The sequence below is a fragment of the Homo sapiens genome, chromosome 6 (genome assembly GCF_000001405.40).
Source record: "Homo sapiens chromosome 6, GRCh38.p14 Primary Assembly".
NCBI lineage: Eukaryota > Metazoa > Chordata > Mammalia > Primates > Hominidae > Homo > Homo sapiens.
Window position 1 is genome coordinate 144,756,560 of NC_000006.12, and position 14,761 is coordinate 144,771,320.

At 35.5% G+C, this 14,761-nt stretch overlaps 1 protein-coding gene across 2 annotated transcripts in view; it reads left to right on the top strand.

The window, feature by feature from the left end:
- The window catches only part of UTRN (utrophin), a 567,700-nt gene that overhangs the window by 471,225 nt on the left and 81,714 nt on the right, over nt 1–14,761 (top strand). For both annotated transcript variants that reach the window (NM_007124.3, NM_001375323.1), the window contains one exon: nt 1,370–1,430. In NM_007124.3, the coding sequence (NP_009055.2) occupies nt 1,370–1,430 (61 nt within the window). The remainder of the gene's footprint in view (nt 1–1,369; nt 1,431–14,761) is intronic.

The following is a 14,761-nucleotide window of genomic DNA, read 5'->3' on the forward strand; positions in this document are numbered from 1 at the left end:
TATATTTCTTGGACTTCAGCCATGGTTATAAAAGAAGCCTGTTTAGTTAGGCACAAAATAAAAACTGACCTATTAGCCTGGTGCCAACACTGAAATGAGGTTGGCTCTAATGAGAAATGTAACATACCTACTTCCTCATTTTCATCCCTGTTTATACTTTGGTGGGCATAGATTGAGAACAGAGTGCTTGCCTTTTATAAAGAGAGGAGGAATTGTTGAGTAGAAGAATTGCTCAGCTAGTGTTCAGAAATTGAGATCACATCTGAGCTCGACCGTTTATTTACTGGCTGTCACTCTTTGGGCAAGTTATTTTATCTCTACACATTTAGTTCCTCATCTATCAAATGGAACTTTAACGTGTATCTTGCTGGCTTCCTTACCGAAAACATATATTTGAAAATGCTTGGCAAAGTTTAGAATGCTGAATAGTTGTAAGATATTAATGTGACATGAAATTGAGAAAAAAAGTATTGGTGACAACTGGCTACGTGAGGATCTGATGATATTTGCAAAGTATGAAAATTCCAAGTATTATTTGAATTTTTATATTTGTTCATTTAGCAAAATTCTTTTATGGCACTAAATTCACATGTACTATTCTTCTTAAATAAGTCTTAAAATAATTGGTTAATGTAGGAATAATATATTTTTTATAAGTAAGAAGTAACTAGAATTGTAAAAAAAAAAAAAAAAAAAGTACCTCAATTTAAAAACCCCATAAAATCTCAGTCATAGTAAGGTCTAGTGCAAAAGTAGGAGACTGGGCTCTCTGTATGTTTCAGATGAAAGTAAGAAATTGGGATTTTTCTGCCTAGACGATTGCCTTGGTTCTTCACAACTTTTTGCCTATTTTTAAATTCCTTCTTTTTAAATGTTATAGAATTGAATTTACTTAAATGCCATCTGTACTCAATAGCTACTCCTGTGACTACGATGCAAAGTAAACAATGTTATTAGTCATCTGGAAAATTCGGTCTTGAAAAATCTAATTTTTAATCTGGATATACCAGGTAAAATTAATTTTGGTTTTAGCTTTATCAAAAATATATATGGAGTACAGTTTCCAGATGGCACTAAGGTTTAAACTGTAGTATTTATAAGCAACACCATTTGAAAGTTTAAAAGTATTTTTATCAACAGGTTAGATTAGTTGGCATTAGACCTTGAACCTGTATTGTTTCTTGTTTTACTTCAAATGAATCCTTAAAGCCATTTTTTGTTTGGCCCAGTGGATCTCATAATTATAGGAATCCAGCTCAGAAACCAGAGCAGTTCATTGAATTTGCTATAAAATGTTCAGTTGTTTTGCATTAAGGTGTAAGGCTTTTTGGTTTCCAACGTTTCCAATAATCTCCCTTTGTTTCCTCAGCGTCAGTCCAGCTGCCGTGGCAAAGATCCATTTCACATAATAAAGTGCCCTATTACATCAAGTAAGTTGATTTTAATTCTCCTTTATGATACCAAGAAAATCATGTTTTATTGATAACTTAAGAGGCTTCTCTCCCCATAACTTTTAAAAATAGAATTCAGTCCTATTATCTGAAAGAAACTGTGATATAGTTAATATTAAAAAGAAACTACTTTTAACATGAGAATTATATTTTTCATGTATCAGATTAGGGATATAGGTGTGTTTAGCTGATATATTTTAAAGTAGAGATTTAAATATTTGGAGACAGACAATAAGCTATGATGGCCATACTGTATTCCAGCCTGGACAACAAAGCAAGATCCAGTCTCTAAAAAGTAAAAAAAAAAAAAATTGGAGAAAAATGACAGAATTTCAAAATACTCTTGACATAATGATATTTGTCAAATTGTACAAATTCTAAACCATTTTTCTTCCTCTAAGAAAATCCATATAAAAATGTCTTATACTCTTGTCATTTTATTCCACCAATAAGAAATAATGATTTATCATGAAAAAGTGAAATATTGTCAAGTTTTTCTTTGTCTTATAGAAGTTATCTGCATTATTAGCATAGGCTCATCATTCTTTGATTCTGTTGTCCAGTTAGTTTCTCCTTCTTGCATACTGTTTCTTCTTCTTATATGACATTTTATAAGTTTTGTATAATTTACACAGGCTCTTAGTAGGCGTTGATCCTTGGCTTAGGGCTATATATTGTCATGGAACAGAATGATAAAATTCTACTTCTATAGTCCCTTGGAGTGTAACTTAGTAAAGATATTAATTTACAACGTGCTCTAGTGATGAGTCATAGTTGACCCTATTTTATGTGTCAGACGAACAGCATCATAATCATGACAACACTTACTTATTGTCAGGAGACAGCTCTGTCTCAGGTTAGCTGTGTGACCTCAGGTAAGTCAGATGAAGATCTCTGGGCCAAGTTTCCTTTTTATCATTTCTAACATGGGGTGTGGTATCTCCAAAATCTATACAAATGCTAATAATCTGCTCTTCCAGTATACTTCCTGAAAACGTTGTGTGAAGTCCATGTTGGTGAAATAGTCTTTTCTTATAATTTTTTATTACAGTCTGAGATGTAAGCTCAGGGTAAAAAACAGGTTTGCATAATATATAATAAATATAATAAGCAATATACGTTACATTAGCTTATGGGAGTTTAATATTTTTATCAGTGTATAACCTACAATGCACTGAGTTGTGAACTGAGTTGAGAACAAGGTATTAAAGCAATTGATTGGTGTCAAATTTGCCCAAGTAAGAATGGAAAGAGGTCAGACGCTGGTTAAGTTGGCATGTCTCTAGTGAAAGAAGATGTGATTATCTAACTGAAAATGTTTAAAACTGTTTACATTTTTATTGTACACTATAACAATAATAATAGTAATAGTATTAGAGAACTTTAATTTGCTTGGTTGAATATTGACTTGAATTTAATCTTACAAATTTAGATATAAATCTGATGTACTGTGGTAGGCAAAATAATAACTGCTCCCAACCCCTGAAAGATGCTCACATCATAATCCCTGGAACCTGTGAAAATGTTAGGTTACAAAGCAAGGGAGAATTAAGGTCGTAAATGGAATTAAGGTTGCAAATCAACTGACCTTTAATTAGGGAGATTATTCTGGATTATCCTGATGGGCTTAATGTAATCCCAGGGGCCTTTAAAAGTGGCAGGGGAGGCAGAGATTTGAGAATGCTAGCTACTAGCTTGGAAGGTAAAGGAAGCAGACATGATCCTTAAATGCAGGCAGCTTCTAGAAGCTGGAAAAGGCAAAGAAATGGGATTCTCTCTTAGAACCTCCAGAGAAGGAATTCAGCCCTGCCAACTTTGATTTTATCCCAGGGAGACATTTTTGTAACAGCAATAGAAAATTAATGCATGTACTATAAAAAAATCAAGAAGTTCACGCAAATTAATTGAAATTAATTAATTTATTGAATTGACTTAGAGTCTTTTATCATCTGATTTTTTTAAAAATGCAAACTGGATCTAGTTTTTGGGTTTTACTAAATAAAAAAAATTAAATATCTTGCTTTATGTTTATATCATGATTATCTGTGTGGTTTGGGACTTTTAAAGTCCATCCTTAATTTTAGCTCTTTTTTAAAAATGAATTTCTATATGTTTAGGTTAATTATATATGACTGAGAATTGTCTAAATCAGAATTTCTCTAATTCAAAATGTTTATAATTTTGGAAGGATCTGGTAGGATTGTATTCTTGTTCTTGTGGGGCAGAGTTCTTATGGGGCAGATTGGTAGAATAAAAGTTAGTTTTACCTGGCTTCCCATTGGCTAGAGCACTATTACCAGCACTGGAAAATAGATATAATATAATGATGGCCACTATTTTAAATAATAACGTTTAGGACTGTAGCATTTAAAAAAATCTTCTCCATCACCAGTAAAAGATCAGATTGTTTAAAATATATGTAGTTTTAGTGTTAAATGTCTTTTAAGTCTTCCAAATTTTTAGAAATGTGCTCATTTGTATATAGCAAATTCCCATTTTCACAAAACTTGTTTAACCAGGATCTTTCATTGTGTAATTTAACAGTTTATTTCCTCATGAAGAAGGAACATCAAATTCTGAAGGTAGAGTTATAAAAGCCAGTATTTATGTGTGAAGAATTGTTATGAAAACAAAATTTAATTCCCAAATTAATAACCAAGCAAATGGAGAATGAAAAAGCTTTTAATATACACTTCCCTTTGCGTGGCTTCAAAAGTAGAAGAAAAATGTTTAAAACAAATTTTGCATGATTGCCATGCAATGAGAATTTCCTGGAGCAAATTAGAATGTATATGGCTAACAAAAAATAATATTCAGGTAGAAATATTCAACGTTTTTGGTGTTTAAGTATATCATCTTTGTATTCACTGTTAGAATATGGCCAGAAAGTTGAAAGGAGACTAGGAAGGGCAAATTATTTTTATGTCATATTTTAATTTTATAGATCACTTAAAGCCCACTTTGATGGCTTCCCACTGCATTTCTGTCTCTCTAGGTAATTCCTTATTAATATTTTGAAGTGCACTGCGGTGGCTCCATGGCTCATGTGTTTGTAGAAAATGAAAGAATATAAATCTGAACTGAAAGAGTCTATATAGTATAAACCCCTCTATTTGTTGATATCTTAAGTTAAAACTAGTCTATATAGTATAAATCCCTCTATTTGTTAATATCTTAAGTTAAAACTAGTCTATATAGCATAAACCTCTCTATTTGTTAATATCTTAAGTTAAAATTAACATTTGAAAATTTTATTTGCTTCCTCTAAGGTAGACTTTCTGAAACTGATCTAGTTATTTCTTTTTTCCTAGTATAGTGCAATGAGAGCTCATTGTATTCAGGGTTTAAGAACATTTAAAATGGGGCCGGGTGCAGTGGCTCATGCTTATAATCCTAATGCTTGGGAGGCTGAGGCGGGTGGATTGCTTGCCCCCAGGAGTTCAAGACCAGCCTGAGCAACATGACAAAACCCCATCTCTACAAAAAATTAGCTGGGCATGGTAACATGCGCCTATAGTCCCAGCAGTCAGGAGGCTGAGGTGGGAGGATCACTTGAGCCCGGGAGGTCAAGACTGCAGTGAGCCATGATCACACCACTGCACTACAGTCTGGGCAACAGAGTGAAACTCTGTCTCCTTAAAAAATAATAATAATAATAATAAATAAAGAGAGAGAGAAAAAGAAAATTTAAAATGGTTCTTGCTGCCTTCACAATATACAAAAATCTGCCATAAAAGCCAGATATCTCTCATTGTAAATTTTTGGTTATGTATTTTGCACAAGTTGTTCATTTCCTCAGATAAAAGTCAACTTCCAGGGAATATGAGGAATAAGAGGAATGAAAGCTTTGGGTTCGGTTGAACTTTCTTAATGCATCACATTAACCATGTAAAATTCACCATTTCTCAGTTTGCCACAGAAATAATAATAACATATAATAATGATAAATAGTTGCTGTGGGAAGTAATAATGATCATTGTAATAAATTACATTTTTGAACAGTCATTTATTTGCCAGGTGTTGTGCTGAATCTTGTGCATAGATGATCTCTTTTAATTCTCTCATTAGCCAAGTGAAGTATAGGTACTATAATTACCCCCATTTACACATAAGTCTTAATGAATTATCAATAACTGCATTAAAAGTAATTAATAAGCACGCTTACAGCTTGCTTGAGATTACACAGCTGGTAAATAGAAGAGCTAGTGTTCAAACCCAGGGATTGTCTACAGCTCCTGAACTCCTGATCACTATGCGGTGCTGTGTCCTGGCCCCAATATTAGTTGAGTCAGAGGACGGAAGTTTTTAGTCCCATGGAAACTTTGAATAGGATGAAGGATTATATTTAGGAAGGAGGATAGTAGTGGAGAAAGTATGAGCAAACATCCTTTCTTTCATACCATAGACGGTTACCATTTACTATGCACCTCCTGTGTGCCAGCAACTGAGTCCAGCTGTCCAAGGACAAAGCCCATGCTTTTTCCAGTACTCCACACTGCCGTTGTATAGGCTTTTCCATAGGCTAATTTCTACAGGAGGATCTATTTTCTAGATGTTTAAAGCAGTTTCACACTGTGGTCTGGTAATGGACAAAGGTGCTTTTTCATAGATAGGAAGATGTCATTCCCACAGTGCTTGCCAGTTGGACCTTGAGAGGAACTCTGAGGTGGGGAAACACACTCTTTGGCCTTCCTCTATCTTTCCCCATTCACATGATCTGAAGATTTCTGTCAACTGGTAGATTTAAGTATCTGCGAGTAAGATGGCCAACAAAGCTGGCTTATAAGTCCTAAGGGACTTGAAACACAGATGGTTCTCTATACATCCGGCCTGTTGGTAAGTCACAGTATTTAATAGAATTTAATAAGATGTAGTTAGGAAATAAGATTTTCCTTTTTCCTTATAACACCTTCTCTAAAGCCTGAGTTGTTGACTTTTCAGTAAGCCTTTAGTCTTGCTACAGATGACTATTCTGTTCTTGTGACAAGGTGTCACCATCACAATTTAACAATTCTATAGCTCAGTTTTTCCCACTGGAGTCTGCAGTGCAGATGTTAATTCTTCATAGAACCCTAAATACAATGTACAATATCACACAACACACAGCTTTCATTATGTACATATTAGTAATCTCTGGTTATATATACCATGCATGTCACATTTTCTAAAACTGACATTCCTCAATATTGCAAGAAATTAACCAGCATAAACTTGTCTATATCTATAAAATTTGCTGTCTTACATTTCTTTCCCTTGTTCTAACTCCCCCTCTGAGTGGATCCAAATGAAGATTATCCTCAATTTGTTACATCTCTCTTTATACTTTTATTTTCCATTCTTGTGCCCATTATTGATAATCCTGCAAAGCTCTTTTAGACCTACTCTCATTTCCCAAGGCCACCCTCTACCTGCCCTAATCCTTCAGTAACTGAAAGGAATTGAAATTTGTAATAGTTGTAAAATCTTGGGGAGCGAGTAGTTGATCTTTATCGCAGTCATACAGTTCATTTGCATAGATTGTATATACTTGTCTTGGCAGAACTACATATACCGTCTAGAGGAGAGAATTCATGCATACTTCTTTAGAAGAATTGTGCGCCAGCTTAGGCAATACAGAAGAAATAGTCCTTCCCTAAATATGGTCAGAGAGGAGTATCAGCAAGGCAATCTCCAAATACTCAGCCTAACAGGAAAATGAAAGCTAACAAAGTGTGTGTAACAGCAACAACGAAGAATTAACATAAAGCATTTTATCATTAACGGTTATAGAAAACTTATCCCAGAACAGAATAAACCCGTAACAAAGGTATAATTAACAATGAAAAATAAACATAGCTCTCTCCAAAAGGGTCCCTACAGCAGTCTTTATTTCTCCCTTCCCTCTTTCGTGAAGATGAGGGATGGTATCTTTTTGGTTCCAGTTTTTTAAGTAAAGAACTCTTGGGCCGCACTTTGAATCTCTTTCAAGAACTGGAGCTTGTGGTTTTGGTTTTAATGATAAAGAAGTAAATGAAATAGAAGCATAAGCAAAATGTACTGGAGAGTCTGTCTTTCTAGTAGTCTGTGACTCTGTTTTTACTGAAAATAAATATTTAAAACTCACTGGGCCAAGTCTGCTGATGGGGAGGTAAGAACAAAATTGCTTTATGAAAGAATGTAAGTACCTTAGGATCACTAAACCCCTGGGCTTGGAGGGGCTTCAGATAAATGAGCATAAGCATACCTTGGCTAACTAAAAATCTAAACAGTAGAAAGCCTGCCCTGCAGCAGCCAGCAAACCGTCACTGGGAAGAAATCTTATGTATTACTGGTGTCCTAGTTAATTGAGGTAATTTAGGTGGAATTGATATTGTCTTTGAGAGACATTAGGTAGTTAAGGACTTAAAATATCACCTTCACTGCCATTAGTCTACATATTGTTGGGCCATGAAGTAGTATTTTGGCTTGGAATCTTCTAGATTACCCAACTCTATTGCATTATAGTGACACCATCAGCCTTACTGGGCAATTTGATTTTTAGGGTAAGGGATGCAGTTAGTAAAGTTCTACCATACAATGTAGGAAGGATCACTGTGGGGCCATTTAGAGAGGAAAAAAGATATCTATACTTTATAAAGATTAAATTTTTAAAACTGCCATTGCAATTAGCAAAAGTACAGAAGTAATAATGTTTAAAATTGTAAAATAAATAGAAATATGCTGATTATAAAGTAAAATAATACAGTAAAAGATTTCATATAACCATATAGAAAAAAATAGAAGTAATTAATCCCTTCTTTTAAAAATACATAAAAGAAAGAGATAAAGTAGTAATTTTTTTTAATAAAAAGCTAAAAGCTACAAATCCAGCTTTTAAAAGCAAACTTAAAGGATACAATGATCCCCTCAACTGTTGTGGGAACATAGTCCTGGTGTTAACACCTTCAGATGGGGGCATACAAGGCTCCCCAGGGCCAATGCAACAACAAATGACCTACAGGAATTTGGCTGATGGTCTGAATCTCCCCAGTTTGAGAGTCACGGAGATGAGGGTAGGGTTGGGTGGGAGGTGGGGTTCCCTATGAATTCTGGGCTCATGTAGAAATATTATCAAGCTAGCAGATCCCCTGGGTTTACTGAGTATTTGCATGTTTATATTTCCAAGCAATTTAGTACCCTCAAGACAATTATCACCTGTCCCTCCCCTCGCACGTAGACACATCAGTTTTGATCATTAATTCTACTACTTTATTTAAAAACAAACACAAATAAACTTTGTCTTATTGTTTTGTAACAAATGTTCTAGTAGTCATACATGCAATATTGACATCTTATATTTTGGGGTGTATGGTATGGTAGCCTATTTCTATATAGTCCTTTCCATGTTTGTATCTTTAAATCTACTCTTGAGTGTGAAATTACTTTAAGTGTATTTTGTTTCAGAGACAGGGTCTCACTCTGTTGCCCAGGCCAGAGTGCAGTGGTGCAACCATGGCTCATTGCAGTCTTATACTCCTGGCCTCAAGTGAACCTCCTGCCTCAGCCTCCTGAGTAGCTGGGACTACAGGTACATGCCACCATGCCCAGCTAATTGGACTTTTTTTAGAGATGGAGTCTTGCTATGTTGCCCAGGCTGGTCTCAAACTCCTGACCTGAAGCAGTCCTCCTGCTTTGGCCTCCCCAAATGCTGGGATTACAGACATGAGCCACTGTGCCCAGCTTAAATGCATTTTATAGTCAAATCCTACGGAATTATTCATTATTTACAATGTTGTCTTCCTGCCTCCTGTCTTCATTATCATGAGATACTAATGGCATTTTTTAAGGAAGACTCTAAACTTTTGCAGTACCTATTATCAAATAGGATCATATATCTTATTTGAATTTTGGACAGAATTTTTTTTTTCTTGAAATTCTGACCTCCACGCTTCTTTTCTCTTAAGTTAATTTTTGTTTCTAAAAGTATATCTTTGGATTTCCTGCCTTTAAAAGCTTAGAGGACAGTAGACAGTGTTTGCGAGTGGATGAGGAAGTTGAATATAACCTGAGGAATATATAAGTTATTCCTGCAGCTTTCTCACCCACTACCTCCATCCTCTCCCCAGGGGCTTTTCCACACAGACACACACACACCCACACCCACACCCACACACACACAAGCACGTGCACAGAGTGAGAATCAATGTTACTGATGGGGGTACTCCACATTCTTCCTATATTCTAGTCTTGGGTGAAACAAGGACTGAAAAGATTATAAATTCCAAAGTAAGTACACCACCTCTCAGATCTTTAAGAAGGTGTTACTCAAATAAATGTTGTCATATCAGATTGCCAACATTTGTTTTCACTCTTCATACTTTAGGCAGTTGAATGCAAAATCGATTAGTTGGGAGCTCGTGCTTGATTGCTATATATATGTAACTTCTATAAGTGTACATAAAGTAAATGTTAACAGAACCTGTATTTTGCCTGTGTCAACTTCCTTTTCTGGAGACTTCTGGTTTTCTCATAGTACCTCCCACCTTCTAATACACTGTATAACTTACTTACAGTGTTTGTCGTCTCTTATTTTTCCCCATCCTGAGGCATGGCCACTCCACTTGGCACCATGGAGTTCATTGCTAATAATTATAGGACCAGTTTGAGTGCAGGAGAAAAGTTGGAAGCCAAACAGAAGTGGCTGGAGTGGTGAATGGGACACGAGGAAGTAGATATGGTACAGTACTCATTGGTGAATTTTGCCTGTGAAGGAGAGAAAAAAGGTGATAACTAGCAGAAAATGTAGATTTGAGGTAGGGGTGTGTGTGTGTGTGTGTTTAAGGATGGCACGTCTGTAAACATTTATATTCTACAAAGGATAGTCTTCTTGAGAGAGGGGTTGACAGTGCAGCACAGGAAATTTTTAAGAAATCATTGGGAAGAATTGGCCTTTAATAAGAAGGGGGACAATTTCTCAGTTAAAGGGGAGATAGGATAACAGACTGGCAGTTGGAGGGAAGTTTCCTGAGTTGGTGGTGGAGAGAGAAAGGAGTCCTCATCTAGTAGTATTTAGGTTTTCAATGAAGCGTGAGATAAAGTAAAATGATATTAAGGCAGAGAAATAAACCAGTTTGGGGAGAGAGATAGCAGTAGTGAATTTCTGTTTTGGAGTTTGGGAAAGCAAGTTTATTAGGGAATATAGTGCAGTTGCCAGGAGTTGGACATTTGAGGTTTGAAATCACATATTTTAAAGTAAATTGAGTCTGTCTGTTGAGTGATTTTCTCCAGTTGTTTTTATCCACAGCTGCTCAGGTCCAGAGTAGGCAAGTAATTGAGCTGATCCAGGCCTGGGATTTGCAAGGGGTGAGAGAGAAGCAAGGGAGATGAGGTTATTTGTAATGATTCTAATGATAGACCATGGACTCAAATTTGGACAGATTCATCAAGAAATATTTTAAAACCTTAATTATGCAAATATACTTCCATATCAAGAGCTTAGCTTAAAATGAGACTATCTCTGTTTAAATCCCATTTCTATTACTTACTATAGGACCTCAGACAAGCTATCTAAGCACTCTCTGCCCTAGTTTTTTCCATCTGTAAGATGGAGACAATATTGTCACCCAAGTCATAGAATTGTAATCCAAATAGAATTTACACATAGAAAAAGTTTATCCAAAAAAGTTTACTTGGTACAAATCGAGCACTCAAATAGCATGTTATTACTGTGATTAATATACATCCTGACCTAGTATATTTTACTTTGCACAGCAAAGAAGAAATATTTTTTTCTTTGATTGTCTTATCTCAGAGCAATATACATAGTTCTTGTCCCCACATTTGTATTTTTACTTATCTTTAGTTTTGTTCTGTTATATGCCTTTATAATTATAATTGGAATGGAATGATATATAACAAACCTCACAAAATCCAGTTATAAGCATAAAATTGGATAGCTAGTAACAAATAAGTATATTTGGGTAAGTGTTAGTTTTTGGAGAAACAAGTTGCCTTCTGATCATCCTTTAAGGTTTCATGGAAAAATATGAGACCACTCTAATGAGGACAAATGGGTTTAAGAAGTATCTTCCACAGAGCAGTCATTTGCCCAGAAATCAAGATTTTACCAGCCTATCAAAAGTGCATGTCCTTTGCTGTTGGTTCATTGTGTTACATGTTAGGCAGTATTGCAGCACAACTTTTTTTGTTTTATTTGTTGGTGCTACAGTCTTATATTATTTGTGTTTTACTTTCTGTGGCTTATCAGTGTTATATTGTTATGAATAATAATAGATAGGTGGAAGGATATACTACTTCTTAACCTTATTGGCTTAATATTTTAATAATGTCCATAAAATGCAGAGATTATATGTTATCCCAGCTGGGGCTCTTCAGAGTAAGGGGGCACTTTTAATAATTATACCAGGATGCTGATATGTAATTCCTGTATACAGTCTAGTATAAAGCAGGATTTATACTGCTTGAAGGATAGTTTTCAAAATAGGCAAAAATCTTAACTCTTATACAAATACAAAAAGAGCATGTTTCATTTAACTCATAGTAAGGGAACCAGTAAGAAGTTATAATAGGTTCCAAAGAGAATACAAAATGTCACATATTTATAGTGAGATTAGGGATGCTAAAATGAATTTACCTCTGGATGCAAAGCTGACAAACTGGTCAATATCCACAGGACAATAATCAATTGCATTCCACTGGGCACAATTTGCATTTATATGGACAGAAATCATTTGCATTACTATCTGTTTTCTTCAGTTTGCAGAGTTTAAAATAGCTCAGAGATAATTTAAGCTTTGCAGGATACCCACTCATTTTTTGCCCACAACAAAGACCTTCACAATTTTTCCCTGCACAGGCAAAACTGGATGGCTGGCCAGCCTAGTTACATGTCACATGTTCTCACTATTGTTTGCTTCATATGATTTTGTACTTAACTGTTAATTGCTACTTTGTTTTTTGTTTTGTTTTGTTTTTTTTTTTTTAATTTTATTCTTGGATAGATTCCCATGGCTGTTGCCTTTTAAAGAGAGGATTTTTAGTAATAAAATCATAATTTTATTTTAGAGCTTATCAAGCTGCACAATATGAAGTCCCACTCCCTGTTCATATTTGAGATTAATTAGAACCCAAGCTGTTGTTATTTTGGGGGAAAATGCTACTTTTATTCTGTTTTGGTTGCCTACTCTGGGAGAACTTCAGGCATTTTGGCAAGAGGAGCTGAGCTATCTGCAGCTGTTCAAATACTTTAAGCCTTTGGGTTCATTGTGGATTTTGCTTTAACCCTCTCCCCCGACTTAAAAAAAAAACAGCAGCCAACTGCATTGCCTGTTTTTTTTATTTCTGTTGTTTGGTAAGCAGCAGTTATACTTTTGTAACCAGAGGCTGTATTTATTTTCTGTGTTGGCAGTTCTGCCTAATGAATCAACTGGTATTGAATTCACAAAGGGAGATGCCCGTTCCCTCCCTCCATCTGTTTGCCAAATGTGTGTGTTCCGTCAGCTCTCAGTAGTGGTTTCACTAAAAAGAGCCATTAGCAAGAGGTGTTCACCTTGAATTCTTAGTCCTCCGCCTGACTGAGAAATAGTGGTATTTTCCTCTTGTGATTCCGTAGGGGTTGTGTGAGGTGAAGACCCACACCTGTAATTCCAGAGAAAGCATATTTGTTGTTTAAGTATAACGTCTGGCTCTACATTACCGATGGCTTTAGTTTGGTTCTTGAGCCTTGGTTTGCTCCATCATGATGGGATGTCTGTCTCTGGACAGTACTGTTGTCGTGGGGATTGAAATTCCCTGAAAGAGAAGACAAGAGATCAATGAACCCTAGTAGGTTCTCTCAGACTGGGAGCCCATGATGCCTTACTGGAATTGCATTACCTCCTCAGCAAATCCTTCCATATTTGTTGGTAATAGGGAGGAAATTCTTTTTGAGACTCTGCATTTCTGTAAAGCTCTGAGCCTAATGATGAATAGTAAGAATTTAGGTCAAACAACTTCAGTACCCGGCTCCATGGTCTTTTGAGCAATTTGTAGTATCACTACCATCAAACCGAAAGGGTGGAATGGTTTTGTTGGTGTTCAGTAGTGGACCATGAAGTAGAAGTATTTGTCTCTGCATTGGAGTCAAGAATCTGGGTAGAGGAGCCCGACAACTTTCCATCTCTTTCCAAGACAGATCTTCACATTGTAGTTACATTATTTTGTTTGAGATCTTGGAATTTCCAGGATACATACCCAATTGCTAATATTTCCGGGATACGTACCCAACTGCAAATACACACTTTAAATATTTTTCAAAGGTAAGTATGAGTTATTTGGGGTTTTTGTTACCTGTGTATATATAACAGTGATGATATTCTTTTCCCAGTGACATGCCCCAGTTTTTGATATATTACATAGGCTTGAAAAATAATTTCTCTTGAATTTGATTTTATGAATGTTGTAATATCACTCTCTTAGGTACTATGCTGGTTCATTTAGTTTACTAAATAGTTTTATAAGAACTAGGTGTCATTTAAGAAGTCTTTGGAGCACTATTAAATGTTATGAATCTACCCTGACCTAGATAAGGGGCAGTTAACTCTTTTTAAATGTAAGGCCACTGACCCACCAAAGTCATGAACTGTTTACCTAAGAAACTTAATTGAAGCATTCCATTTATGTTTTAACCTCAATTTATTACCCCAAAACTTCCATCTAACATATGAATTAGTTTTGAAATTTACAGAAAAAGAGAAAGTATAAAACTTGCTTTTAAAGTGAAGAACATGAGGAAAACAATTTAATACATATAGAAAATAATAATACTGGTTAATGAGAGGAAGCTGAGAAGAGGAACACAGAGTCTAAGTGGCAAGAGACACTTGCCTGAGGGGAGTGGGGAATCCAGATACACATGAAGAGAAGAAAGGGTAGATTTGCACTGAGGAAAGTTCGACTCAAGGTAGAAGAGGAGGGAGGCTCTGTAGATTGTGGGATGATGTTATTCAGAGTTAAACTTGTTTCTGCAATCTTTGGAAATATGACGAGACTTTTAAGGTGTAGTGACTCCCACAGCACTACTTCTGCTGTTGGAGGATTCGTTCTGAATGATAATCTACATCTGTTTAACAGATATGGGTTTATTCTGGAGCCTGCATTGATCTGGCCACATCAAGCCAGGACCGAAGGGTTCATGACAGTCACATTTTATATCTAGGTTTTAATTTGTAGTTTCAGTTCTGTTTGAAATAGGCAAAGCAAAGATTTCATTTGTGTTTTTACAATGTAGTTGCTCAAATGAAATTTATTATTAAAAAATTTTTATAAAAAACTTTTGTATAGAGATGAGGTCT